At 47.8% G+C, this 26826-nt stretch overlaps 1 protein-coding gene, 2 long non-coding RNA genes and 1 other non-coding gene across 7 annotated transcripts, besides 9 other annotated features; 3 read left to right on the forward strand and 1 right to left on the reverse strand.

Annotated features, from left to right (window-relative positions):
* Positions 1 to 1574: 1574 nt before the first annotated feature.
* YWHAH-AS1 (YWHAH antisense RNA 1) lies at positions 1575 to 13420 on the reverse strand. Of its 4 annotated transcripts, none has more exons than NR_126507.1 (3): positions 13287 to 13416; positions 6043 to 6169; positions 1575 to 2503 (listed from the first exon to the last, which is right to left on the reverse strand). It is a non-coding gene; the product is annotated as a YWHAH antisense RNA 1 (long non-coding RNA). The 4 variants fall into 4 exon arrangements; NR_171018.1 differs by having other exon boundaries at positions 1577 to 2503; positions 5970 to 6169; positions 13287 to 13420; NR_171020.1 differs by lacking the exon at positions 13287 to 13416 and having other exon boundaries at positions 1577 to 2503; positions 6043 to 6503.
* Positions 11051 to 11908: an enhancer, noted in NCBI's record as "H3K27ac-H3K4me1 hESC enhancer chr22:32338983-32339840 (GRCh37/hg19 assembly coordinates)". NCBI's record gives its function as "activates a minimal SCP1, AML or CMV promoter by ChIP-STARR-seq in primed H9 embryonic stem cells {active_cell/tissue: H9 hESC(primed)}" and the evidence as "EXISTENCE:reporter gene assay evidence [ECO:0000049][PMID:30033119]".
* Positions 11909 to 12766: an enhancer, noted in NCBI's record as "H3K27ac-H3K4me1 hESC enhancer chr22:32339841-32340698 (GRCh37/hg19 assembly coordinates)". NCBI's record gives its function as "activates a minimal SCP1, AML or CMV promoter by ChIP-STARR-seq in primed H9 embryonic stem cells {active_cell/tissue: H9 hESC(primed)}" and the evidence as "EXISTENCE:reporter gene assay evidence [ECO:0000049][PMID:30033119]".
* Positions 11909 to 12779: a biological region, named in NCBI's record as "H3K27ac-H3K4me1 hESC enhancer GRCh37_chr22:32339841-32340698".
* Positions 12030 to 12179: a silencer, noted in NCBI's record as "silent region_13639". NCBI's record gives its function as "represses an Ori minimal core promoter by ATAC-STARR-seq in GM12878 lymphoblastoid cells {active_cell/tissue: GM12878}" and the evidence as "EXISTENCE:reporter gene assay evidence [ECO:0000049][PMID:35858748]".
* Positions 12460 to 12549: a silencer, noted in NCBI's record as "silent region_13640". NCBI's record gives its function as "represses an Ori minimal core promoter by ATAC-STARR-seq in GM12878 lymphoblastoid cells {active_cell/tissue: GM12878}" and the evidence as "EXISTENCE:reporter gene assay evidence [ECO:0000049][PMID:35858748]".
* Positions 12560 to 12779: a silencer, noted in NCBI's record as "silent region_13641". NCBI's record gives its function as "represses an Ori minimal core promoter by ATAC-STARR-seq in GM12878 lymphoblastoid cells {active_cell/tissue: GM12878}" and the evidence as "EXISTENCE:reporter gene assay evidence [ECO:0000049][PMID:35858748]".
* YWHAH (tyrosine 3-monooxygenase/tryptophan 5-monooxygenase activation protein eta) lies at positions 12589 to 25657 on the forward strand. Its single transcript, NM_003405.4, has 2 exons — positions 12589 to 12874; positions 24193 to 25657. The coding sequence occupies exons 1-2, from the start codon at positions 12788 to 12790 to the stop codon at positions 24844 to 24846; spliced, it is 741 nt and encodes a 246-aa protein (NP_003396.1). The 5' UTR covers positions 12589 to 12787; the 3' UTR covers positions 24847 to 25657.
* Positions 12850 to 13189: a silencer, noted in NCBI's record as "silent region_13642". NCBI's record gives its function as "represses an Ori minimal core promoter by ATAC-STARR-seq in GM12878 lymphoblastoid cells {active_cell/tissue: GM12878}" and the evidence as "EXISTENCE:reporter gene assay evidence [ECO:0000049][PMID:35858748]".
* On the forward strand, positions 12888 to 17206 carry LOC124900477 (uncharacterized). The gene is made up of 3 exons (XR_007068065.1): positions 12888 to 13289; positions 13554 to 13732; positions 15518 to 17206. It is a non-coding gene; the product is annotated as an uncharacterized LOC124900477 (long non-coding RNA).
* Positions 13510 to 13559: an enhancer, noted in NCBI's record as "active region_18873". NCBI's record gives its function as "activates an Ori minimal core promoter by ATAC-STARR-seq in GM12878 lymphoblastoid cells {active_cell/tissue: GM12878}" and the evidence as "EXISTENCE:reporter gene assay evidence [ECO:0000049][PMID:35858748]".
* On the forward strand, positions 21458 to 21560 carry LOC124905158 (small nucleolar RNA U13). The gene has a single exon (XR_007068165.1). It is a non-coding gene; the product is annotated as a small nucleolar RNA U13 (small nucleolar RNA).
* Positions 25251 to 25602: an origin of replication, noted in NCBI's record as "site of nascent strand synthesis determined by PCR of size-fractionated nascent DNA; promotes replication of a plasmid". NCBI's record gives the evidence for it as "EXISTENCE:fractionation evidence [ECO:0000100][PMID:9356241]" and "EXISTENCE:genetic transformation evidence [ECO:0005027][PMID:7690594]".

Here is a 26826-nt window from a genome sequence, read left to right on the forward strand (position 1 = left end):
GAGGCCTGAGGATGAGTCAGGTCAAGCACAGTGGGGCACTGGGAGGAGGAGATGATACCAAGAGGGTTCCAATGAAAGGACATCTGCAAAGGACAGAGGGGAGGGAGGGCTTGAGTTTCTCAAGTAAAGGCAATGAGCTGTGTCTAAAGCAGAGGGTCCATGTGGAAGAGAGTGGAGGGATGAGCTCAGGGCCAAACTGGTCTCATGGGCTAACTAAAGACTTCGTCCTTTTTCCTGGCCAGGCGCGGTGGCTCACACCTGTAATCCCAGCACTTTGGGAGGCCAAGGCAAGCAGATCACTTGAGGCCAGGAGTTCGAGACCAGCCTGGCTAACATGGTGAAATTCTGTCTCCACTATAAATACAAACATTAGTTGGGCATGGTGGTGCATGCCTGTAGTCTCAGCTACTCAAGAGGCTGAGGCAGGAGAAACGCTTAAACCTGGGAGGCAGAGCTTGCAGTGAGCTGAGATGGTGTCACTGCACTCCAGCCTGGGCGACAGGCTTTTGAGACTCCGTCTCAAAGAGAAAGGAAGAAAAAAAAGGCTTTGTCCTTTTTCCTGAGGGCAATGTATGTAGGAACACCAGATTTAGCAAATTAAAATACAGGTTGTCCTGTTAAATTTGGATTTCATATGAACAACAAATAATTTCTGTAGTATGTGTATGCAATTTCTGGGACATTCCTATACTAAAATATTATTCATTGTTTGTCTGAAATTCAGGGGTTTTTTTGTTTTTCTTTTTGTTTTGTTTTGTTTTTAAGACAGGGTCACATTATGTTGCCCAGGCTGGCCTCAAACTCCTGGCCTCAAGCAATCTTCCTGCCTCAGCCTGTTGAGTAGCACTACGGGTGTGTGCCACCATACCCAGCTTGAAATTCAGTTTTAACTGAGCCTCCTGTATTTTCTCTGGAGACCTTAAGTGTGGGATCATGGAAAGGTTTTAAGCAGGGCGAGGACAAGGTCAGATTTACGTTTTGGGAAGCTCCCAGGATTCGTGGGAAAATAGACTGGAGGGAGACCAGGAAGGGGCGGGGGATGAGGTTCCTCCTATTGTCCTGGCCAAAGAAGTGGAGGTCACCACCAGGAATGGGGCCATTGCATCATGTCTTCCAACACATCTGCCTCCCGGACTAGGCATGTGGCCTTGGATAAACCCTAGCTGATGAAGCCCCAGAGGGCTGCAGGCCAGTCAGACCCCAGCTGTGCCATGTGAGCCCCTGGCATGGTTTACTCCCTCCCAGATGCTCATCTGCCAAACAAAGGGGTCAGATGATCAGAGAGATTGTCCATGAGGGCCCTTCTGCTTCTGCCATCCTGGGGCCCTCCACCCATCCTCTCTCTGATACCTCTCCTGGCGTGGGCCCACCAGGGTGAAAAGTCCAAACCTGAGATGCTTGGCTCCCAGGTCATCCTTCCTGTGCCTCCTTGCTCCTTCTTCCCTCCCACCATCACTCTGCCCAGTGAATGCCTGAAGGGACCCCGTGTCTCCTCTCTCCAACCTCAGGTCCCAGGCCTGGTTTTGGAGAAGGGTCTCAGCCTGTGTTGACAGCCTGCGATGGGTGAAGCTAGGTCTTCGGCATCACTCGTTTCATTGAATCTTCACAGCAGTGCTACAAGGAAAGCATCATTCCCATTTCACAGATAAGGGGGACTGAGGCTCAGCAGTGCACTTGCTGACCCAGTCACACAGCTGTGCAGGGGGCAAACCTGGAGTGGAGTCCAGGTTGGGCTGGCACCAGTGCTCTGCTCTCCCGCTGTCTCAATGGAATGTACCCAGGAGCCCCTAATCCCCCATTGATTTAGTGTTCGGGCTTGGTCAGCAGTCTTCTTGTCCCACTGCAGGCATGTGCAGCCCCGGCTCTTTCTGAGTTAAGCCAGGGACTGAAATGGGTCGGCAGAATGCTCATCTGTTGGGCGCTTTATGGTTTATAAAGCCCTTTCCCTTCTGTGCCCTCCTCACAACCCCATGGAGACTCTGCACGGCCCCTCCAGCTCTTAGAGGCTGCATTTTGCGCAGTGAAGGCCACATTAAATATTAACAGGGCAGCTCCTGGCCCCGCTGTGACGTCAATTACGGGGCCGCTTGGTGAGGGCTGCGGATGCCTTTCCAAGGTGAAGCGGTGACCGGAATTCAGCTGGCTTGAATGGTGTCCCAGGAGGCTGGCTGTCAGGACTCGGAGAAGATGTTGCTAATGTAAGGTGTGGCAGGAATCCAAAAGCTTTCCTCTGATCTTCCTGGCTCCCTCAGGGCCTGGTGGCATCCTGAGGCTAGCGAGATGCATTCAGTCATTTGGCAGATATTTATTGAGCACCTGCTATATGCCAAGCACAGTGCGAGGCTCTGCGGAGACGGCTGTGAATGTGATGAGGTCTTTGCATAGTGGTGCTCCCTGTGTGATTGAAGAAAGGGAGAAATCCAGCTCTGTGGGCTAGGGCAGGTGCCCACTCCAGCGTGAGGCCAAGGGATCCTTCCAAAAGAAGTCAGGTTGATACTGAAACCTGAAGAAGAAGCCCAAGTTAGGTAGGGAAAGAGGAGGGGTGAGAGAATAGACATAGAGAATACCTTTCGAGGTCGGATCCTGGTTCTACCTGTTCGTAGACATTTATCTACAAATTAGGTTCCCACCACGCAGGGCTGTTGTGAGGACTAAATGAAGCCATTGCTAGTGACAGCACAGGCTGGATGCATAGTGAGGTGCCCAGTGGGAGCTCATGGGTAGCTGCTGTGAAAATAGCTCTGGGCCACACATGGTGGCTCACACCTGTAATCCCAGCACTTTGGGAGGCTGAGGCGAGAGGATCACTTGCATCTAGGAGTTCAATACCAGCCAAGGCAACATACTGAGACCCTGTCTCTACAAAAAATAGAAAATTAGCCAGGCGTAGTGGTGCACACCTGTAGTCAGTCCCAACTACTTGGGAGGCTGAAGTGGGAGGATCACTTGAGTCCAGGAGGTCAAGGCTGCAGTGAGCCAGGATTGCACCACTGCACTCAGCCTGGGTGACCCAGGAAGACCTTGTCTAAAAAAAAAAAAAAAAAAAAAGGAAGGAAAGGAAAGAAAAGAAAGGGAAGTAAGGATGGAAGGAAGGAAAGAAAAAGAAAGAGAGAGAGAGAGAGAAAGGAAAAGAAAAGAAATAGTCTGTGTCTTACATGATTCCTTTGCACTGCCAGGAATTCTTGCTCCCATTTTGTAAGCAGAGAATATACTGAGGCTCAGAGAGGTCAGAGAGGTGACCCGACATGGCCAGGGTTATACTGTGGATTAGACCCCAGGTTGGACATGTGACCCTAGGCTCTGACTTGGGCTTTTTGCCATACTCCATCCACAGGCAACCCAAGCAATTATTTCAGCTCAGTGAGATACGGAATCCCACCAGTGATTCCCAGTATGAGTTCCTTGGCTGCATGTTCAAGGGTAGTCTCAGCCTTCTTTGTGATAAGGCCACAGCTGTCTGATGATTAGCCCAGGGTTGGGCTTTGGGAGGCCTGGGCATAGGCTTGATTTCGCTAACCTGCTGTGTGACCATGGGTGAATTACTTTCCCTCTCTGAGCCTCAGTTCCCACAGGGCCAGCGAATGACCAGCTGTTATTGTCTGGGTCTCTGATCCTCCCAGTAGTGCTGTGGCAAAGGAACTACTTTGAATTTCATATTAAAAATGAAGAACCCGGACAGGCGCGATGGCTCACGCCTGTAATCCCAGCACTTTGGGAGGCTGAGGCAGGTGGATCACTTGAGGTCAGGAGTTCAAGACCAGCCTAGCCAACATGGTGAGACCACGTCCATACAAAAAACACAAAAATTAGCCAGGCATGGTGGTACGTGCCTGTAATCCCAGCTACTCAGGAGGCTGGGGCAAGAGAATTGCTTGAATCTGGGAGGCGGAGTTTGCAGTGAGCTGAAATCACGCCACTGTACTCCAGCCTGGGCAACATGCGAGACACTGTCTCAAAAAAAAAAAAAAAAAAAGATAAGGAACCAGCGGTCTGAGACCGACAAAGTGGCATGCACAAGGCTACACAATTAGCAAGTGGGGCCCAGGATTTGGGAACAACCCGTTGCTGGCAGAGCTTCCCATCAGTCCACCATGCTGTGCTGCCTCTTGGAGTAAGAAAGCCAAACTGAATTGTCTCCAAGATCTTTATTATGGGTCTGTGATTCTGTGAGTTCCCTGCTGCCCCAGGCCTTCAGGGCTCAATGACTTCATGGGGAAGCCATTTCAGGTTGTGCTGGTCCTCCAACTGTCCCCATTTCAAGTAGGTAACATCCCCGTAGGCAGCACTCCCTCCCTCCCTCAGACACAACCTCATTCCTCCTGAATGAAGAGGTCTAGTGAGGACAGGGACATGCCCTTTTTATTCTCCCCCCACTGCACCGCCCACTCACCCTGACATGCCCATTTTATGGAAAAGAAAACTGAAACTCAGGTCCAACAACTTGCCCAGGTTTCCCCAGTTACTATGGAAGAGCTAGGATTTGAGGCTGGGTCTGGTAACTCCAGATCTTGTACTCTAAGTAACTGCAAGCTGGCCAGATTCAGCAGGACAGCCCTCCTCCTCCTCTGAGCTCCCTCCCGGCTTCTGCAATCCTGCCTGCCTTCCCCCTTGCTCCCTCCCTCTTCTTGCCTTTCACTCAGCTGTCACTTAATGTTAGCTGTCAGCTGATTTCAGGTGTTCCCCTTCCTGGGGTGGAAGGGGAGAGGACCAAAGATCTTGGCCATTCACAAAGGGGGCTCTGGTGATGGGAGTTTTGTAATACGCAGAAGGTGTAACCAAATTCAATTCAGCATTCATGGAGCAGCGCCTGGATCCAGGACACTCAGCCAGGCATCCCAGGGACTCAGATGGTGAATGAAACACAGGCCCCATTCTCCAGTGCTTACAGTCTATTACAAAGGAAATGGCTGCTTCCTAAGGAAGTGGGAAGCAGAAGGTATAAGTAACAAAGAGTGTGAACCTTATAGTCAGAAAGACCTGGGTTCAAATCCTAATTCTTCATCTAATAGCAGCATGACTTTGGGTAAGAGGATGCCTTCCTGAGCTTTAATTTTTCCATCTGTTTAATGGGTGTAAGAAGAATAGCTCCCATATTAAATGAGATCTTATACTGCATTAAATGACATAACAAAGTGCTTGATGCCCAGTAGCAAGCCACAGACATTCCTACCAATGTCACTCTAGGCAGACAGTGGATACCAGAGTCACAGTGGGAGTAGGTGGAAGGCGAGAGTACTTCTTGTTGGAGAAACTGGGAAGGCTCTTTAGGGGAGGTAAGATTTCGGCTGGGTATTAAAGGAATGTAAGAAGAAGAGAATGGGGTGGAGGGATGGGAAAGGACATTCTGGAAACTCATGGGCAGAATCTGGGAACCTGGTGGGCCTAATGTGTCCAGGGAGTGGGTGATGACCTTGAGAAGATGGGCCACGGGCAGGTTATGAAGGGCCAGGTAGAGGAAGTTATATCTTTAACGAGGGAATGGATCCTACCCACGACCCCAGGGGCAGCTCAGTGCTGTCTCTGCAGAAGCCAGCCAGCCTCCTACAGGAGTTGGCCTTCTCATGTGGCTGTGGTCCTCTCAGATCCCTTTATCTCCTGAGTCAGGGCCAGCCTGCCACCATTATCTACAAGAAGACAGAAGGCTATAACAATCTGCTTGCCTCCTACTAACATACTGGGGAGGAAAAGATGTTTTTTAGCATAGTTGCCTGGCAGAGAACCATGGTGAAAATTCAGTGACCCTCTCCCTTGCTTCTCAGGGTACAGTTTCAGCAGCAGCTGATGACAGTTATGCTCATAGCTCAACAGCTACAAGAATGTTCTCAGACTCTCTGAAGGTCAGGGGCAGTGGTGGGAAGAATGGTGAAGATGGAGCAGAGCCCCTGCTCTCTGTGCTGTGGCTGGGCAAGACACTTAACCTCCCTGGGACTCAGTTTCCTCATCTGTAAAATCAAAACAATAATACTGACCTTGCCTTAACCAAGAGACAGCGTAGTAGCAAACTGCTGGCCCACAGCCTGCTATGAAGTAGGAGTTCATTACCTTCTTCGCTCCAGGTCTTGACATGGTCCAAAGACTTGTCTTTTGATGCAGCCCTGTTGTATCCTCTTGAGTTGTCATGACATTGTCTGCTGGTCTTCCAGTGGCAAAATATCCTAGACTTTCAGAGCTGAAAAAAAAAGGTACTTTGCCATTCATCATTGCAGCCTCCCATTTCACAGATAAGAAATCCAAGGCTCGGGGTGAAGGAACAGCCTTCTCCAGCTTTCCCGGACCATGCACGACAGCCCCTCCCAACCCAGCCCACCCAGTGGGAACCATGCAAAAGCTTGAGGCAGTTTTTCAGATGGTTCAAGCCAAAACGTCTAGAAAATTCTTGCTAAGAAACACAAACTCCCAGACCATCTGCAGAACTGAAACAAAAGCCTTTTTCGCCCTCATTTTAACTGCAACTCAATAGGTGTCGGCTTTGAGCTCTCCCCCAGAGCTGAGCTCCTCTGAACAAGCTGGAGGGGGGCGGGTGCTGGGACTGGGGCTCTGAGCTCCACCAGCTCATAGAACCAGCTCACAGATTGCAGCTAACAGGACATTTTTGCACTTCTTAATGCCAAAAGCTGCCTTGGATGCTGGTTTGCTTCCAAGGCGCGCTTTGAAAGAGGGATGGAAGGCTCTAGATGATCCTGAAATCTCTGCGCTCAAGATGCTCTTAGTTAAGACACGGGGTGAGATTTGGTGTCAGCAAAAGGATACTGGGGTCAAAGTAGATGGTGCAAAGTTGGGGTGAGTGGGGAAGGCTTCAGATGATTGCAAGAATCTGACTCTTCTAGGCCTCAGTTTCCTCATACATATAGTGGGGCTAACAGCCTCCTTCCGAGTGAGGATGTGGGGAGATAATATGAGAGTAAAGTGTTCATCCTCAAATCAGGCAGAGGGTAAGTGATTAAAAAACAAGAGTCGAGCCGGGCGCAGTGGCTCACGCCTGTAATCCCAGCACTTTGGGAGGCTGAGGCAGGCGGATCACCTGAGGTCAGGAGTTTGAGACCAGCCTCAACATGGAGAAACCCTGTCTCTACTAAAAATACAAAATTAGCGGAGCATGGTGGTGCATGCCTGTAATCTCAGCTACTCTGGAGGCTGAGGCAGGAGAATTGCTTGAACCTGGGAGGCGGAGGTTGTGGGGAACCGAGATCGCGCCATTGCACTCCAGCCCGGGCAACAAGAGCAAAACTCCGTCTTAAAAAAAAACAAAAAACAAAAAAAAAAACAAGAGCCGCTGTCGATGTTATTGCTGGTGGTTTTATTATCATTGGCTGGGTCGGCAAGGTCACCTTGGCTGCAGGTGGCCTACAGTGGGAGAAAAAGTTAAAATCCTATCTGGGTGACATTATTAATAATTTGTGGACAGGCGGCTGCTCCAGCTCAAGATGGTAACCATGCCAACATTGCAAATGCCATCTCTCCAGAACAACATCACGTCTCCTTTGTAATATGTCCCTTGGTGTCCAGACTTCTCAGCAGCTCAGAGTAAGTGTCTCAGAGTATCCATGAGTGGAAAAACAAAAAACAAAAAAACAAAAAAACCAGGATGTGCCTTTTCTGGGTCATCTATTCACTGGGCTCTGGTGGAGGGTTCTGGCAATGCTTTAGAAATGCAGTCCCACGTGAGGAGCAGTCGTGACCACTAGCTCAGGGTGGGATGCAAGTGAGGAATTTTTTTTTTTTTTTTGAGCCTTGTTGTCCAGGTTGCACTGCAATGGTGTGATCTCGGTTCACTACAACCTCTGCCTCCGGGATTCAAGCGATTCTCCTGCCTCAGCCTCCTGAGTAGCTGGGATTACAGGTGCCTGCCACCACGCCCAGCTAATTTTTTGTATTTTTAGTACAGATGGGGTTTCACCATGTTGGTCAGGCTGGTTTCAAACTCCTGTCCTCAGGTGATCCACCCACCTTGGCCTCCCTAAGTGCTGGGATTACAGGCATGAGCCAACATGCCTGACCTTTTTTTTTTTTTTGAGATGGAGACTCACTCTGACGCCCAGGCTGGATGGAGTGCAATGGTGCGATCTCAGCTCACTGCAACCTCTGCCTCCCGGGTTTAAGCAATTCTCCTGTCTCAGCCTCCTGAGTAGCTGGGATTACAGGCGCATACCAACACACCCCGCTAATTTTTGTATTTTTAGTAGAGACAGGGTTTTGCCAAGTTGGCCAAGGTGGTCTCGAACTCCTGACCTCAGGTGATCCACTCGCCTTGGCCTCCCAAAGGGTTGGGATTACAGGCATGAGCCACCACGGCTGGCCAGTTTTTCTTTTTTAAAAATATTTTTTGTAGTCTCAACTACTCGGGAGGCCAAGGCAGGAGAATTGCTTGATGAACCTGGGAGGCAGAGGTTGCAGTGAACTGAGATCATGCCACTGCACTCCAGCCTCAGTGACAGAGACAGACTTCATTAAAAAAAAAAAGAAAAAAAAAATATAAAATGTGTGTGTGTGTGTGTGTGTGTGTGTGTGTGTGTGTGTGTATTTTGTTTTCTGTAGAACTGGGGTTTTGCCATGTTGCCCAGGCTGGTTTTGAACTCTTGGCCTCATGTGATCCTTCCACCTCGGCCTCCCAAAGCTCTGGGATTACAGGCATGAGCCACTGTGCCAGGCTATTGGTCCCTTTTTACAAGTGACTTGCCGGAGGGTACTCAGCTGGTGCACTGGCAGGGTAGGATTCGAACCCAAGACAAGAACCACGTTCTTTCTCAAATCACACCACACACGTGTGTTCAGGAACCCGGGGGGGGGGGCGGTTTGTTCTGTTCCCCGAGTGAGACCCTGTACCAGGTGAAGACCCAGACTTGGCTCCTCTACTGGGGACCTGCTCTGAGCCCTGAGGCAACAAAGTGTGTTTGACATTAACCATTGACCTCCCTCACCTCACTCAGGTGCTGTCTTTGACGTTGTTCAAAGGCCCTGTTTATCGATAGGACGTAGAGCCTTGGGAGTAGGTGACCTGTCGCAGGTGGTGACCCTGATTTTTATTGATGAGGCTCTTGGGCGTTAGCAACTCTCTCCCAAGGGCAAAGAAGATGTGTGCTGGTAAGAGTGTGTAGGCCACATGGTGGGAGGCTTATGTATGCTTTGTATAATCTGAGTGACCCCAACAGGGAGTCACACTTTGAGCTCTTCTCAGCTGACACCACGGGGCAGTGTGAGGCCCTCAGACTTGGGTGTCTGATGGATCTGAGTTTGAATCCTTGCTTTGCCCATTCCCAGCTGTGTGACTTTGTTTAAACCATGGGACAGCTCTGTGTCAGTTTGCTTATCTGTAAAACGGGAAGGAGGCCGGGCTCAGTGGCTCACGCCTGTAGTGCCATCACTTGGGAGGCCGAGGTGGGTGGATAGCTTGAGTACAGGAGTTCAAGACCAGCCTGGGCAACATGGCAAAACCCTAGCTCTATTAAACAAACAAATTTTAAAAACTGGCTGGGCGCAGTGGCTCATGCCTGTAATCCCAGCACACTGGGAGGCCGAGGCAGGAGGTACATTTGAGGCCAGGAGTTCAAGACCAGCCTGGCCAACCTGGTGAAATCTCTATTAAAAATACACACAAAAAAATTAGCTGGGCTTGGTGGTGCATGCCTGCAGTCCTAGCTACTCGGGAGGCTGAGGCAGGAGAATAGCTTGAACCTGGGAGGCGGAGATTGCAGTGAGCCAAGATTGTGCCACTGCACTCCAGTCTGGGCAACAGAGCGAGACTCCATCTCTTAGAGAAAAAAACAAACCAAAAAAAAGACTAAAAAATCCATTTAACAGATGAGGCACAAGAGTTTAAATAATTTTCTCTGAAAAAATTAGCTGGGTGCGGTGACGTGCGCCTTGTAGCCCCAGCTACTTGGGAGGCTGAGGCAGGAGGATCGCTTGAACCTGGGAGGCGGAGGTTGCAGTGAGCTAAGAGAGCACTATTGCACTCCAGCCTGGGTGAATGGGTGAGACTCTATCTCAAAACAAAACAAAAGCCAACAAACAAAAAAACAGGAAAGGAAATCGGACCAGCCTTACAGGGGTATCTTGAGGGAAAAAAAAATGCACGTTTCTGCAAAGCACCTTGCCTGGTACTAGGAACATGGTAGATGGTTCCTTAGAGTGCATGAGGATGGGGTCACCAAGGATAGGGCAGTGTGTGAAGAGGGCTCGGGACAAAGCCCTGAGGAACCCTAGTATTTTGGGGTAGGCTAGAAGACAAGCCCATACAGCAAATAGAAGAGCAATGGCCGGAGCAGCAGAAGGGAAGCTGGGAGAGTCGGTCAAGGAAGGGTGAGCAGTCGTGCCCAGTCCAGCCAAGAGGGCCAGGGAGGTGGGCACTATGAAACCTCCTTGGCTTTGACAACAAGGAGGGCTCTGATGGCCACGGTGGAGGAGTAGGGACAGGGTGAGAGCACACTGAGCTGATGGGTGGGTAGGAGGTGAGGAAGAGGAGATGAGGAAGTTTGGTGAGAAGAAAAGCTTCATGGGAGAACCAGAGTGTCCTTTACACATGTCAGAAATCAATTATTTAGAATGCTCCAGCTCTACCTAATTTTCACTGTTTTGAAATCAATCTTAGTCCAACCTCATCAGAAAAGCTGGAAGGGCTCTAAGCCCTCTAAGAGCTAGAAGGAACCGAGGAGGTCCCCCCATCCAGGGCTGGCCCTCCTCCCATCTCTCACTGGGACCCCATCCTTATGGGGGGTGGAGTGGATGATTCATTACTATCTAGCATGCTCTTTAAATATATTCACTAGGGGAAAGATTAGCCTGGTTTGTTAACCTCGATTCCAACAGCAAAAGTGACTCTTCAAAGCATGGTGAAGCCTGGGGTAGTGGCCTCCTCCTAGACCCACATTCAAATCCTGTTTCATGGGCCCCCAGAAGTGTGATCGTTTCAGCATCATAGCAGGAAGAGGAAGGCCTGGGAGGCAGGAAACCTGGTATGGAGACCCCAGCTCTGCTCACTCGCTGTGCAAACTAGGGCCAGCCCCTCCTTTCCCTCAGACCTCAGTTTCCCGTTATTCAGGATAAGGGGTTAGACAGGGGTGATTCTAAGGGTCCTGCCAGCTCTGACATTTCAGCATGTGGATATCTATTCTAAAGTCCTTGAAACAGTTAAGTCCAATTCTCCAGATGGAAAACAGGTCCAGAAAAGGCCTGGTCTCCAGTTCCCTCCCTTCTCCCTTCGAACATGTCTTACTCTCTAGAGCAAGATTCCAGGCCTGAAATATGGCTTCCCAATTACCTAAGGATGAAGCCTCAAATCTTTGGCCTGGCATTTAAAAGACTCCGTAATCTTGTTTTACCCAACCTCACTTCCCATTCTTAGGCCTCTCTTCTCACCATCTCCCAGGTCACTGCCAAGCCTTTGCCAATGCTGTACCCCAGGCCTTAATCTTTTTCCTGACTCTCCTTCAAGATCCAGCTTATCCCTGTGGGCTGAGCATGCAGTAGATGCTCAATAAAATTCTCAGCGAGCCCAAGGCCCCCTCTCCTGCACTGCCCTTGGCGTGTTGAAATCAAGTGGGGGCCTTGTTTTAATCATCATTTTCCTAGCTTGTCGGGCAGCCCAGTCCAGGGCCTGGCACAAGGGACCCTCAGCATCCAATACCAGCCAGGATTGGGAGGGGCTCAGTGACCAGCCAGTTGGGCCACCCCAGCTCTTTGCCACAAGAGAAAGTTCAGCCTGGGTTTGGACTCAGATCCTGGCCCCACCACTTACAGGCTGCGTAACCCTGAGCAAGTCACTAACCTCGCTTTTCCTCAGGTTCCACGTTTTAAATATGGGGAGACCAGCTGTGCCCACTGTGGGCTGGGTAGTGAGGATTAAAGAGGAGGATGCTTGTACGGGACTAGCACTGGGCTGGCTCCTAATGTGTCCTGAATATTACTTGTCCCGCCCTGGCCACCCAGTCCCCTCCTCTGGTGGAAGGCACAGCCTGCCCAAGGCTACGTCTCAGGTTGGGTTCGATTGTGTGTGTCTGTGTAGCGGGGCTGTCCCCGAGGGTCGGACTCGATCCTGCCCGGACCAGTACAAGGTGTGGCCCAGCAGAACGCATGGACAGGCAGGGCTCGGGGCGGGCGGGACGGCTGGGGCGGGGCTGGGCGGACCCGCCCCTCGGGGCACGCGGTCTCCCGGCTTCTCCGCCAGTATGTTTGCTTGCTTTTGGGGCCCTTCTCAAGCCAGATCTCTAACGTGGATGGAGTGGCGCGTTTCAGGGTGGGGCTATGACAATGCACTGCCTGTGCAGCCGCCATCACCGCGCCCCCTCCACCGGCTCCGCAGTCTCCTGCCCGGCTTTCCCTTCTCCACCTCCATCTCTGCGGCGGTAAAATGCAGCACTCGCAGAGCGCCTGCGCGGCTTTCAGGCCGGGCGGCGGCGGCGGCGGTGGCTATTTATAGTAGGTGACGTCACCTTGAAATAGACCGTTAGGGCCGGCCCGCCCTTCCCCCCTCCCACTCCCGCCGCTCCCCGCCGCCCGGCCTGGCCACTCTCACTGCGCAGGCGTCGTCCCGTCCTCCCATCCCCCAGCGCGGCCGCGTCTCCTCCCTCGGCGTTGTCCGCGGCGCGAGCCACAGCGCGCGGGGCGAGCCAGCGAGAGGGCGCGAGCGGCGGCGCTGCCTGCAGCCTGCAGCCTGCAGCCTCCGGCCGGCCGGCGAGCCAGTGCGCGTGCGCGGCGGCGGCCTCCGCAGCGACCGGGGAGCGGACTGACCGGCGGGAGGGCTAGCGAGCCAGCGGTGTGAGGCGCGAGGCGAGGCCGAGCCGCGAGCGACATGGGGGACCGGGAGCAGCTGCTGCAGCGGGCGCGGCTGGCCGAGCAGGCGGAGCGCTACGACGACATGGCCTCCGCTATGAAGGCGGTGAGCGCGCCGGGAGCCCGGGCGGCTGGCCGGGGGGGGCCTGGCGTTGGGGAGGGACGGGGATGGCCGCGGGCGCGTTCCCCTCCCGGCCATGGGCGACCCGGCGACCCGGCTGGGCGTGGCCGCCCGCCCGCCCTTAGCCCGCGCTTCCCGCTCCCGCTGGGCGCCCCGCCACTTCCTGAGGCTGGGCCCAGGGTGGGGGATCCGGGAGGGTGCAGTTCGGGATCGCGAAGGCAGCCCCGGAAGGGGGGCGGGCCGGTCGGGGTCGCCACATCTTAGTTCGGAACCCGGCCGGGGGCAGAGGGTGCCCTAGGGGACGCGAAGGAGCCGCATTTCTCCTAGAGCGTTTCACCGGACCCGGGGGCTCCCCCTCTCGTCTTCCTCCGTTCCCCAACTTGGAATAAAGAATCACCTAGTAAGTGGCGCCCTGTCTCAGCTGGTTTTCTCTGCCACGACCTGAAGTCTGCAATTCCGATCTGTTTTGCTCTGCTCGTTCGAATTGTTCTGGTTCCATCTTCCCACGCCTGGGGGTCTGGCTTTGTGTGCGAAGACCCCTTTCCTGCAGTCTAGGCGTGGACGGGGGCGGGAGAGTGGGCGGAGGGTGTGGGGCCCCACTCCACAGCCCCAGGTTTGCTGCTGCGCTGTCTGCTTGGAGATTAAAATGAAACGTGACTTCTAGGTGAGACGAATCTGTGTGTCTTTGCATTCCTGAGACCCTCATAAATCGATTCTGCAGCTTCTCCGGTGGATGAGTCGTGCCCAGCCACACCCTAGCAAAATACCGTGGGTCACACACCACCTGCATTTCTGAGTTCCGGTTACCATCTCACTCTCTCTCCACGTTATTTTACGTTTTCTGTAAATGAATATTTCCTCTCCCTGCGTCAAGGTCACACAGTGGTAGAACAACTGCGACCACCAACCTATGTTCAGTGTACAACCTCCTGAGACCTGGGAGGATCCCCTTGAACTCCGCCTTAGACCTATACATTCAGAAATTCGGGCGGTGAGACTCAGACATCTGCATTGTAACCAGCTCTCACAGGCGATTTTTAGCTGGCTTAAGTCTGAGAATTACTGCCCATGATTATAGTAAATGTATCCTTTGCTGGCCTTTTGGAGGGAGTTCCGAAAAAAAACTGCCAATACAAAGGCTCCCTAAAATCTTAAGTCATTTGGAAAGCTCATTTGAAGGCTTTTGATGTTAATATCAGATGAAATATGTAGTTGGGGCCAATATTTAGGATTGTTCAGGTAAGAAAGGTGCTTGAAGAGTTGCCTTTCCTCTGGTGTCCTTGTTACACACATAACTGGGTGTGTTTGGAAACCAGCAACACCGTTGCCCGTATGTTGATTTGTTGGTGATCTTGACTTGAGCACTATTAGCATGCTGTTGTGGTGAGGCAGGTTTTCTTCCAGACCGGGGGACGGTCTAGGTCTGGAGGCTGAACTTTATGTAATTCAGGGGGTCCTTTAAAAGAAAATCTAAAATATAGTTTTGCATATTTTACAAAAATGGGACTGACGAATGCATTTCCTTGGAAGGGACCCTGAACCTTAATTTTCTGTGGGATAAAGCTGCCTCTGTCCACAGCAGGTCACACTTAAGCCCCTCCTCCCCAGTAACTGAGTGGTGCTGGGATTATGCAGGCTGAGGCCTCTCCACACATTTTCATGAAGTGGTTGCTCACCCTCTAAGTGAGACGTAAAGACTGCAGTGTTCGGAGCCCTTTGGGAAATAAATGTGGTGAAAAGAAAGGAGGGACGAGGTTTAAAGGAAGGGGAAATGGAGGTTAAGGAAAAATGGCTAGAAGGTGTGTTCTGGAACAATCAGAAACCTGAGGCAACTTGAAATGGGGGAAAAAGGCAAGAATGGAGAGATGTTACCAGAACGAAATCTAGTTTGAGCAGAGAAAAAGACTGGCTTTCTAGTAGGCTTGTAAAATGCTTTCCTGCAGCAAGCTACTTGTGTCCATAGATCTTCTCTGGAGGGTTAAGGTAGCCTTTTGTAAACCAAAGGAATCTATAATATCTATATTTGAAATAATTAATGAGTTGGAAAAGCCACCCAGCGTAGAAGAGTCAATCCAAGCTTTAATTCTGCCATCTCAGAATGGTGATAAACCATTTCTCCCCCATCATCTAAATGGAATATATTGTGCTTATAGGTATTTTCTTTAAAAGAAAAAAAAGAATATATTGGAAGGGACTGGCAGGGGTCACTTTCCCTGCTAACTTGGTGTTTGTAGATTAAATTCTTAATGTTACTGGGATGACTCAGTCTCTATGTTATTAATCTCATCAGCCTTAACTAAGGCTTTTGGAAAGGGTGTAAGTTTCAGTAACCCTCTGGGTTTACCTGGGCTTTCTTCAGGGCTGGGGAAGGGCAGGTAAGTAGCCTGCTGTAGGGAGGATGGAGCAGGACACATGTGTTAAGGATATATTCTGATGCCACCAGTCTGTAACCTTGAAACTTACATCTTGGCTTTAGGTCCTCTGAAGTATAAAACTAGTGATGTTGCTGTTATTAACAAGTCAGTTTTGCCTTCAGTCTTCTAACTTGTTTTCTGTTTCCTTCATAATTAAAATGCTCACTTGATAATACTGCCTTCCTGTAATGATTGATGTTCCTCATTCTACCAGCGTCACCTGGAGGACAGTGTTGGTAAGCTTGAAGAAAAATCGTGCATACTGGAAACAATGGTCTTGCCTCAAACCTGTTGAGAACTTCTCTTCCCTGCTTCTCTCCATAATTTGAAGAAGCAAGAAATGTTTCTGAAGTGAAGCATAAAGGAGTATCTTCAAGCTCTATCTCATACCTACCAGCTTGCATAGAGTATAATAGTGGGAAGAAATATTGTGAAAGATTCTAGAACCTAAGTCCTTTCTAGGCTAGGCAATTCTAGGCTACACAATTCGTAGTCTCTGTAAATACCATTTGATAACTGAAATAAACCTATAAAGTGGGATTAAATGTTAGTCCAGAAGACTAAGTGATTTAAGGAAAGAGGGAAAATAACCAGATAGATTTCTGGTGGATATTCATAGACAGACATAATTTCATCATGTATTATGGCCCTAAGTCATCTATTTTATATTAAAACATAGATGGTAACTGTAAAGTTATCAAATGTAAAAATTACTGGGCTAGCATTGTGTTTTAACACTGATACACCAGTTGATTACAGTGTTGACAGAAAACGGGCAGAAACACGTTTAAAGTACCTGCAGAATATATATATAGAAATCTTTTTTTTTTAATCAGTGTTGACCAGGTTGGCCTCGAACGTGTAGCCTCACCTCCCCGAGTGCCAGGGCAACCGGCCTGAGCCACAGCGGCTCCCTAGAAATCTTAAGTGCAGGAAACAAAACTACAGTTTAAGGAAACAGGAGTCGGAGAGGAGGGGCATTTGGCCCAACCACTGGCAAAAGGCTGTTGTTGCAACAACTGTGAGATTCTGGGAAGTGGGGAAATGAGCAGGTGCTGTGTAAAAGTGCACAGCTGACTGCCCCAGGTGAGACAGATCAGTGTCACAGAGAGTAGGAGGATTTTGAGGTGTGATTAGTATTTTTTTTTTTTTTCTTAAAGAGATGGTCTCGTTCTGGAACCCAGGCTGGAGTGCAGTCGTGGCACGATCATAATTCACTGTAGCCTTGAGCTCCTGGGCTCAAGTGAACCTCCTGAGCAGCTGGGACTACAGATGCATGCCACCGTGCCCAGCTAATTATTAAATTGTATAGACAGGATCTCTATATGGTACCCAAGTTGGTCTCAAACTCCTGGCCTCAAGCAGTCCTCCTGCCTCAGCCTATTAAAGTGCTGGGATTACAGGAGTGAGCTACCACACCCAACCAGTAGGAAATCTTAAAGCCACATTGATACTACAGTTTGAAATATGTAAAAACTAGGGAGCTATGTTTCCCACTAACTGGGCATTTAAAATGTAATCGTCTTTGAGGAAGGAAGAAGGCTCTGGATTATTCTTGTAATAGTTTGAATTTAAAAGGTCCTTTCAGGTGGGCAAACAGCTTACGTGGCTTTCTTGCACTGAAATAGAAACTGTAGTCCCCATGTGGGTTTGGGTCCCTGAATTATCCCCAGAAGAACTTCCACAGTCCGGAACTGACTCCCTTAAAGAAACCAAAAATGTATTTTCTTTGGTGGGGATTTTCTTTAGTTGGTCTTTGTCTGGGATTTTATATCAGTGACAGACTGTAGCGTCACACTTTTCCAGAAATACGGTTTCGGAGAGGGTACCCCTAACGTTTTATGTGTGTGTGTGTTACATTTAGCAAGTTTATATAACATATTTTACTTTTTTTTTTTTTTTTTTTTTTGAGACAGTTTCGCTCTTGTTGCCCAGGCTGGAGTACAATGGAGCAATCTCGGCTCTCTGCAACCTCTGCCTCCCGGGTTCAAGCAATTCTCCTGCCTCAGCCTCCCAAGTAGCTGGGATTACAGGCATGCACCACCATGCCATGCCCGCCTAATTTTGTATTTTTAGTAGAGATGGGGTTTCTCCATGTTGGTCAGGCTGGTCTTGAACACCCGACCTCAGGTTATCCACCTGCCTCGGCCTCCCAAAGTACTGGGATTACAGGCGTGAGCCACTGCGCTTGGTTAGAACTTATTTAACTTTTTAGGCACTTGGTAAACGGTAGCTGTTAGTCCATGTGTACTTTTTTTTTTGGTGGGGGGGGGAGTCATGCTCTGTCACCCAGGCTGGAGTGCAGTGGCAGGATCTTGGTTCACTGCAAGCTCCGCCTCCTGGGTTCACGCCATTCTCCTGTGTCAGCCTCCCAAGTAGCTGGGACTACAGGTGCCCGCCACCTTCCATGTGTACATTCTTGTTTAACAATTCAGGATAGGTACTGTTACTCCCCTTTACAAATGAGACTTTCAGAGGTTGATTTTCTCATGGTCAAACAGCTAGTAAGTTGTGAATTCAAGATTCAAACTCAAATTTAGAGCTCTCATTTTAACCACTATGTAACAATGCCCCATGAGGCAAAGGGATAATATGTCTAGTATACATTCTGGTATATTAACCATTGTCAGCACTGGTGACTGAAATCCAAGAACTCTTCATAAGTGGGCTTACTAAACAAATAATTTTATCTGTTGGGTGCAAGTCATTTTTTTTTTCCAAATACGATTAAGAACAATCTGCCATTTATGGGTTTTAGCTACAACAGAGAAACATAAGAGGGAAACTCACATATCTGGATTTTGCTTGTTCTGAAGGCTTGGAGGCCTTTTTTTTTTTTTTTTTTTTTTTTTTTTTTTTTTTTTTGCTTAACAAAGTATTGAATTTGAGTTTCTCCTGAGTTAAGAAGTGCAGGACTATGTTACATTTTATTTGGGGTATTTTAAGAAATTATTTCATATTCTTGGCACCAGTTGTTTCTCCATATTGCCTTTAATGTATTTTTCTCCCTGCACCCTTTAGTATATTTTTATGCAGGCCCCAAAATTTCTGTCTCTAGGTTGCTGGTAAAATTCCTCCTAGTGTCCAAGTGGAGGCAGCTTGTCTTCTGTCCCAGCATTTTGGTGCTCCTCCCGCCCCTACTCCTGGCTGCAGTGGCATTCCCTTCTGCGGTGGTGAGTGTTAGCACTTCCAATGATCCGAACCTGGCACAGCTTCTGAAGCCTTCAATTCGGATGCCTCTAGGGACAGTAGCATGCAGTAATGCCATTCAGATGGTGTTGTATTTAATCCTTGCCAATCCCCATGAAAATGTTCAGTTATGTCAAAAGCAAGGCAAAAACAGTCTCTTGGCTATACAAGGGTAGCTGTTTTATTTGACTAAAATTTAGCTTAGAGTGGATGTTACTTACCCGAACTTGCCTGCTCTGAGCTTGAAGTTTAGCCTATTTGTGGTCTTACAGAATTGCAGCCTCATCCTGGTGAGGATAAGGGGCTCAGCCTGACCCTGGCTGGTGATGTTCTTGCCCAGTGGCCTGTAGGACTTGGTCTGTTGGTGGATATCTTTCCAGCTTGGGGCAGGCCAGGCAAGATCCTCACTTCCTAAGCATTAACTTGGGAAAGAGCTCAGCAAGCTTTCATCCCTCTAGCTCATTTTTTGTTTTTTTGAGACAGAGTCTTGCTCTGTCGCCCAAGCTGGAGTGCAGTGGCACAGTCCTGGCTCACTGCAACTTCCACCTCCTGGGTTCGAGCGATTGTCATGTCCCACCCAAGTAGCTGGGATTACAGGTGCACGCCACCATGCCCAGCTAATTTTTGTATTTTTAGTAGAGATGGGGTTTCTCTATATTGACTGGGTTGGTGTCGTACTCCCTGGCCTCAAGTGATCCGCCTGCCTTGGCCTCCCAAAGTGCTGGGATTACAGGTGTGAGCCATCACACCTGGCCCCTCAAACCCTCAAACTGACTTTTCTCACACAGACACACACACATACACGTACACACACACTTCTGCCAAAGAAGCTTAAAGGTTTTATGATGTGGTTATGTTTACTTAATCATGAGAATCATTTACTCATATCAAAAGCAAGCTGGTTGATAGCATGTAGGTGTGGGTAGCTATAAAGGATGAGCCCATAGCATGTGTGGAGCTGTGAAGGATGGCAGCATATTCGAGTGAGGTAGCATTACCCCTAACTTAGGCAGCTATGGCCTGGCAGCTCGGGGGTGGCATTTTTGTTTGCTCAGTGTTACTTTTGATGTTGGATGTTTCCCAGATTGAGAACTTTAAATTTTCCTAAATAGTCCCTGTACTGTTTTTGGCAGTGGATCTATTTTTACTCACACACATAGTTTTTTGCCTTGTGAGTAGTGGGTGGAGGCCCTTAGGGGTTTTTGGGTAAATGAATAGTGTCATAGGAAGATAAGTGAATGATCAGCAGGCCAGGTCATTTTTGACATTTAGTAATGTTGGGGGTAGTCCTGGAGCAGAGAAAATGTGTGAAGTGAGTGCCCTGGGGTGGGGACTAGGTGTAGCCAAAGGCTGTTTGGTCAGGACGTGAGTAAAACTGGCTGACAGGGAAGTCCAATCCTTAAAAGAAATGGAGAGGAGGGCCTTTGTGCATGGGAAGAGCCCATCAGTTTAAGGTTGTCCTTCAGGAAGGGTGTAAGTAGGATTACAGAGGGTGGGAAGGCAGGCAGGACACCTAGAAAGCAGAGAGGCTGTGAGCAGGGGTGGCGAAACCCCTGGTTTGTGGCCCGGTGAAGACTCAGTGCCTAGTGTGGCTACACTGAGGGAAGGTGCCGTGTGGCAGAAATGACTGTTGTAATCTTGGTGTTAGAGCGGAAAGAGGCTGAAAACTATTGTCTAGGCCTGTCTGTAAAATTCTGTCTTGTTGTTGCTTCATGTTCCTGATTTGTGGAGATGCAGCAAATGTGATTTCATTAGATTTTGCAGATGATCTTAGGTAGCATGGTCGGGGCCTGGAGAGCATCCATTACTCTGTGTTGCCACCCGGTGTTTGCCTCTCAGTACAGTTTATGACTGAACTTTTCATTAGTTCTCCTGGCTCCTGTATTTTGGTATTTGAAGTGTTGGGAACTGGTGCTAAGTATCATCCATCAAGATTGGCTATCCATCTTTTTGTTTTAATGGACTGTCTGATTTTACATGGGTCTATAATTTTCCAGTCTGGGAAAAACTCAGTTTTCTTTAGTTATCTGGTCAAGTAGTAAGCCATCTTCATTTCATGTTTCCTTTTGTTAACTGAATTATAACCCAGGAGTATTAAAAAATACTGTATTTAAATGTATCCAGTTATTTCCTAGTTAGGCTCTGGCTGGGGTATTAGGAACAATATTTGCTTGCTGAGATATGTTAGTCACCCTCAGCTAATGCTGATAGTGATTCATTCAGACTGGCAGGCAACCAGATGATTTTTACATAAACACTAATACTCCCAGTAAATGATTTTTCTTGTGAAGGTGTCATCATAAATACTGCCCAGTAGCCTTTTTTGGCAGCTTATTCCTGATGGAGAAAGAATATGCTTACAGATACACCCAAACTTCACGTTAGTAGGAAGCCCTGCCACACCTTTTATTGGTGCACAGGAAAAACGAAATCATGGAACATTGGAGCTGAAGGAGGCCTTGGAGATCATTTGGGCTAATCCTGCTTATTTTACTTTGGATGTCCAAAAAGGTTGTGATTTGTTTAAGGTCACATAGCTAGCTCAGACTAAACTTCAGATGTCTTGGGTTTAATAATTATACCGCCTTTTGTGTTATGCAAGCATTCTGTATTATACATACATGTATTTCAGATTTGTACTCACTTTAAATGATATACTCTGGGAAGTTACCTTGGTGTATCTTTGCCAGTTTCACAGAAGCAGCTTTGTTAGTCACAGGAGGAAGTATATTGTGACTCCTTATGGATATTATTTGTATTTTAATGCCAAATGGCCTTAGTTTAATTACTACAAGATGAAAGGAGCTCTCCAAATTCTGTTGTTGCCTTATGCTTTGTTTTATTGAATATTGCTCTAGAAACGCAAGTCATTCTAGAGGATTCAAGCATTCTGAAATTTATCAGAATATTTGGGATGGAATTTTGATTCAGAAGTGTTGTTCGTTAAAAGACTAAGTAGTTACTCATCTTTTTGTAGTTCATAAGTGTGATGATTGGGTTTTGACATGCAGGTGTGAGATGTGCCACCCTCAAACCTTGTTACAACATAGACATGTGACCCTCTGATGTGGGCAAAAAAAGACTAAGTTATTAAATATTTACAAAGTCTCTATTTTCCGTAAGAAAATGTATGTAAGTGTTTAAAGGCACTTACTGGAGGAGGAAACTAGTGGGGTTATAGGTGTTCAGCTGGATTTAAGGGGAGCATGGATTGTAGATTCATGGTAGACTGGGGCAGATCACAGTGAGAGGTATGGAGACTACTAATGAATATGTGAGGATGAATAATGAGAACCCTGGCTTGACCAGAGTGGAGGCAGCACCCCTGGGGAATGGTCAGGATAGCTGTTAGCCAAAGACCACACTGAAGAAAGAAGTGGGTAGGCAAAGGAGAGACTTTGCCTGTGTTAAGGGTTTGTAGCAGAAGAGTAGGGGTCCTGGGGACAGGGAAATGGAGAAATTAAGAGTGAGCTGGTATTTTTATTTTGTCTGGGGCTTGGGGGTAGGGAGGACTCAGACAATTGCTTGTTTTACTTTGTGAGAACTTGGCACGTTTTCTGATTTTTACCTGTAATAATGATTACACTTGCTGCTTATGTCCTTGAACCACTAATTCCCCAAATAAACCATCATTGTTCATGATTTCTGATACTCCACTGCTCAGTCTTCTCAATCCATTTTAAGTGTGTCTATTTGAATATGCTATTGATAACTTTCCCCAATGAACTTGGCCTTTTCCCTCTGGAGGTTCTGTCCTTACAGATTGGTTTAAGTAATACCTTTTTTGTTTAGTGTTTTATGGTTTCCTAAGTGCTTTGCTTTCTTTTTTTTCATTATTGAAATTAAAGACCTTTTGGATAAGCAGAGACTGATTTAATAAAATTAAAGACCTTTACCAGTAGGTCATATTAAGGAATCCCTCTACTTTAGACGACACACCATCTTTTAAGGGCTTGTGAAATGTCCTGGGTCAATTTAGGAAGTCATTTTCTTTGCTTGGGCCCAGACCAACTCTGTTAGCAACTCTGTTAGGAACTCTTGTTAGGAAACTCTGTTAGTTTCCTAGGGGGTGCTGAACCTAGTACGACAAACTGGATAGTTTAAAATAATAAATGTATTCTCTCATAGTTCTGGACGCTAGAAGTTTGAAAGTGAGGTGTAGGCAGGCCACGCTCCCTCTGAAGGCTCTAGGGAAGAATCCTTCCTAGGCACTCTCCCAGCTTCTGGTGGCTTCTGGCAACCCTTGGTGTTCCTTGGCTTGTAGATGCGTCACTCCAGTCTTTGCCTCCACTGTCACATGGCATTCTTCCTGTGTGTGTGTCAAAATCTCACTATCCTTATAAGGACACCTGTAATTGCACTTAGGGCACACCCTAATGTCCAGTATGACTTCATCTTAACTAATTACATCTGCAAAGACCCTATTTCCAAATAAGCTCACATTCACAGGAACCTAGGGTCAGAACTTCAGCGTATCTTTTGGCGGGGGATACAGTTCAACCACTGCAAAGTCTAATAATGCTCTTCCTACTAACTGCATAGCTAGTTCACTTGTAGTTGGCATCATGGAGAACTAAGGGAAGTTAAAGCTTGTGAAATTTAACTCTTCCACTTAAAATAATTGATGCTTCCATCCTTGATGACCAGAGTTTCCTGTGAGGTAGGTCAGAGTACAACTTCCTGCTGAGTAGCTGTGCTTCCTTTCACTAGGAGCTGGGGGTACTTTCATGTCACTTATGAATTGTTCTTCATTTTGGTTTGGGAGAGGGCTGGGAGTATCAGTTAGGGTTCCATGTGTAGCCACACAGGGCGAAGCTCTGGCCACTGGATCTGTGTGATGTTCCATCTGATCTGTGAAGCCCCACCATCTGTTAATGTGTATTTGAGGAGTGGTTGGTTCTTTCCAGAGTATAAAGCTGGAAGCAGAGTCTGGAACACTTCCAGTCTGTTGTCTTTGAACATTTGACAAAGGGACCGTACGATCTTACTGTTCAGAGTATCTTTTTTTTTTTTTTTTTTTTCTTTTGAGACGGAGGCTTGCTCTGTCGCTAGCTAGGCTGGAGTGCAGTGGCACGATCTGGGCTCACTGCAACCTCCGGGTTCAAGAGTTTCTCTTGCCTCAGCCTCCCAAGTAGCTGGGACTACAAGCGCGTGCCACCACGCCCAGCTAATTTTTGTATTTTTAGTAGAGATGGGGTTTCACCATGTTGGCCAGAATGGTCTCGATCTCTTGACCTCATGATCTGCCCGCCCTTGGCCTCCTGAAGTGCTGGGATTACAGGCATAAGCCATCGCGCCCGGCCTGTTCAGAGTATCTTTTGCAGAATGGCTGAAGCTCGAGGTTTTCTTCTTCACCATTATGTACTGCTGCTGTACAACCTTTTCATAATTATCCTTAGTCCCATTCCTCTACCAAGGTGAAAGCAACATCTTATCAGACCCGAATTATGAATTTCTCAAGCCCCTATGATTTTCTGTTTTGGGTGCCAAGTATTTATCTCTTCTGTTAGACTATAGTCTTTCTTCACATAGGGTTCATGTCTATATTGGTTTTATCCATGGGTGGTTTTTATTCTCCAGAGTGACTGACCTGTTCGTAATTCCGTTCTTGAGAAGGATTGTTGATTATGTTGAAGGGAAGGCTTCTTACCAAGATTTTCAGATTTTGCTTTCAATGTTTATCTTTTTGGGGTTTTGCAGGTGACAGAGCTGAATGAACCTCTCTCCAATGAAGATCGAAATCTCCTCTCTGTGGCCTACAAGAATGTGGTTGGTGCCAGGCGATCTTCCTGGAGGGTCATTAGCAGCATTGAGCAGAAAACCATGGCTGATGGAAACGAAAAGAAATTGGAGAAAGTTAAAGCTTACCGGGAGAAGATTGAGAAGGAGCTGGAGACAGTTTGCAATGATGTCCTGTCTCTGCTTGACAAGTTCCTGATCAAGAACTGCAATGATTTCCAGTATGAGAGCAAGGTGTTTTACCTGAAAATGAAGGGTGATTACTACCGCTACTTAGCAGAGGTCGCTTCTGGGGAGAAGAAAAACAGTGTGGTCGAAGCTTCTGAAGCTGCCTACAAGGAAGCCTTTGAAATCAGCAAAGAGCAGATGCAACCCACGCATCCCATCCGGCTGGGCCTGGCCCTCAACTTCTCCGTGTTCTACTATGAGATCCAGAATGCACCTGAGCAAGCCTGCCTCTTAGCCAAACAAGCCTTCGATGATGCCATAGCTGAGCTGGACACACTAAACGAGGATTCCTATAAGGACTCCACGCTGATCATGCAGTTGCTGCGAGACAACCTCACCCTCTGGACGAGCGACCAGCAGGATGAAGAAGCAGGAGAAGGCAACTGAAGATCCTTCAGGTCCCCTGGCCCTTCCTTCACCCACCACCCCCATCATCACCGATTCTTCCTTGCCACAATCACTAAATATCTAGTGCTAAACCTATCTGTATTGGCAGCACAGCTACTCAGATCTGCACTCCTGTCTCTTGGGAAGCAGTTTCAGATAAATCATGGGCATTGCTGGACTGATGGTTGCTTTGAGCCCACAGGAGCTCCCTTTTTGAATTGTGTGGAGAAGTGTGTTCTGATGAGGCATTTTACTATGCCTGTTGATCTATGGGAAATCTAGGCGAAAGTAATGGGGAAGATTAGAAAGAATTAGCCAACCAGGCTACAGTTGATATTTAAAAGATCCATTTAAAACAAGCTGATAGTGTTTCGTTAAGCAGTACATCTTGTGCATGCAAAAATGAATTCACCCCTCCCACCTCTTTCTTCAATTAATGGAAAACTGTTAAGGGAAGCTGATACAGAGAGACAACTTGCTCCTTTCCATCAGCTTTATAATAAACTGTTTAACGTGAGGTTTCAGTAGCTCCTTGGTTTTGCCTCTTTAAATTATGACGTGCACAAACCTTCTTTTCAATGCAATGCATCTGAAAGTTTTGATACTTGTAACTTTTTTTTTTTTTTGGTTGCAATTGTTTAAGAATCATGGATTTATTTTTTGTAACTCTTTGGCTATTGTCCTTGTGTATCCTGACAGCGCCATGTGTGTCAGCCCATGTCAATCAAGATGGGTGATTATGAAATGCCAGACTTCTAAAATAAATGTTTTGGAATTCAATGGGTAAATAAATGCTGCTTTGGGGATATTATCTCTGTTTGGTCTTGATTTTTCCCCCCTCGAGGAACTGTTTAACCAGTCACAAATTGTGGTTTGAATCTCTCAAACATGGAAGCATTTGTAGTACATTATCCAAGTTTTCCTCCCCTCTCATTACATTACATATTTTGCAGCACACACATAGGATTCATAGATTTTAAATAGTTTTCTGTGAACCCAGCTAACATAGCCTCTCTGATCAATTTTCCTGATAACTGGTGCTTTTTAATGAGCCTCGCAGAACAAAATGCAGTCTTCCACAGTATAGCACCTCTGAAACATTGTGGGCTCTGTTGAACTTGAGAGTGTATTTAACACTGAAGGTAAATACGGAGCTTATACACGTCCTCAAGTTTTCTTAATGTAATAAGATACTAGGGGCACAACTTGCACCCCTGAAATCTTTAGTGATTATTGTTAAGCATTTAGTATTCTTTAAAATAGAAAAGCAAACCTCATTGAGTTAAAAAGCCTAACCTACCCCTTAAACACTTGCTTAACCCCAATGTGTCTCTCGAGCCTCAGCATCACTGGCTGACTGTTCTTGAGTGAGGTGGTTTCCAGCTCCTCACGATTTTTATCACCTCCAGAGTGGCACCTAGGAATGAACGTTTGTTAGGTGAGTTGGTTCAGTTACACAGAACCCTTAAACGCCTTTTTCTATTTGTTTGTTTTTTTGAGATGGAGTCTCGCTGTGTCATCCAGGCTGGAGTGCAGTGGCATGATCTCGGCTCACTGCAGCTTCCACCTCCCAGGTTCCAGCCATTCTCATGCCTCAGCCTCCTGAGTAGGTGGGATTACAGACGCCACCACCACACCAGGCTAATTTTTGTATTTTTAGTAGAGATGAGGTTTTGAGTGTTGGCCAGGCTGCTCTCAAACTCCTGACTTCATGTGATCCACCCACCTTGGCCTCCCAAAGAGCTGGGATTACAAGCGTGAGCCACCGTGCCCAGCCTTAAACACCTTCTTGACTAAAGTTTGGCATTAGACTGATGGAAATGGCCATGACACAATCTCTGTCCTTGAATTTATATTGTGGAGCACATAACTTGTAAGCATGTAAGTTTAACCTGTTTCTTATTCTGAAGTAGAGTATGAGCCCCGCCCCCCATGCCGGGGCCGATGAATACGGCTCAGGAAGCCTGTTTCAAGTTGACC

Source organism: Homo sapiens, chromosome 22, assembly GCF_000001405.40.
Source record: "Homo sapiens chromosome 22, GRCh38.p14 Primary Assembly".
In the NCBI taxonomy this organism is placed as follows: domain Eukaryota; kingdom Metazoa; phylum Chordata; class Mammalia; order Primates; family Hominidae; genus Homo; species Homo sapiens.

Bases quoted from the DNA above. Each gene is read 5' to 3' on its own strand.
- YWHAH (NM_003405.4), top strand. From the start codon at position 12,788: ATGGGGGACCGGGAGCAGCTGCTGCAGCGGGCGCGGCTGGCCGAGCAG. The intron at 12,875-24,192 runs GTGAGCGCGCCG...GGGGTTTTGCAG, and splicing joins TGGCCTCCGCTATGAAGGCG to GTGACAGAGCTGAATGAACC.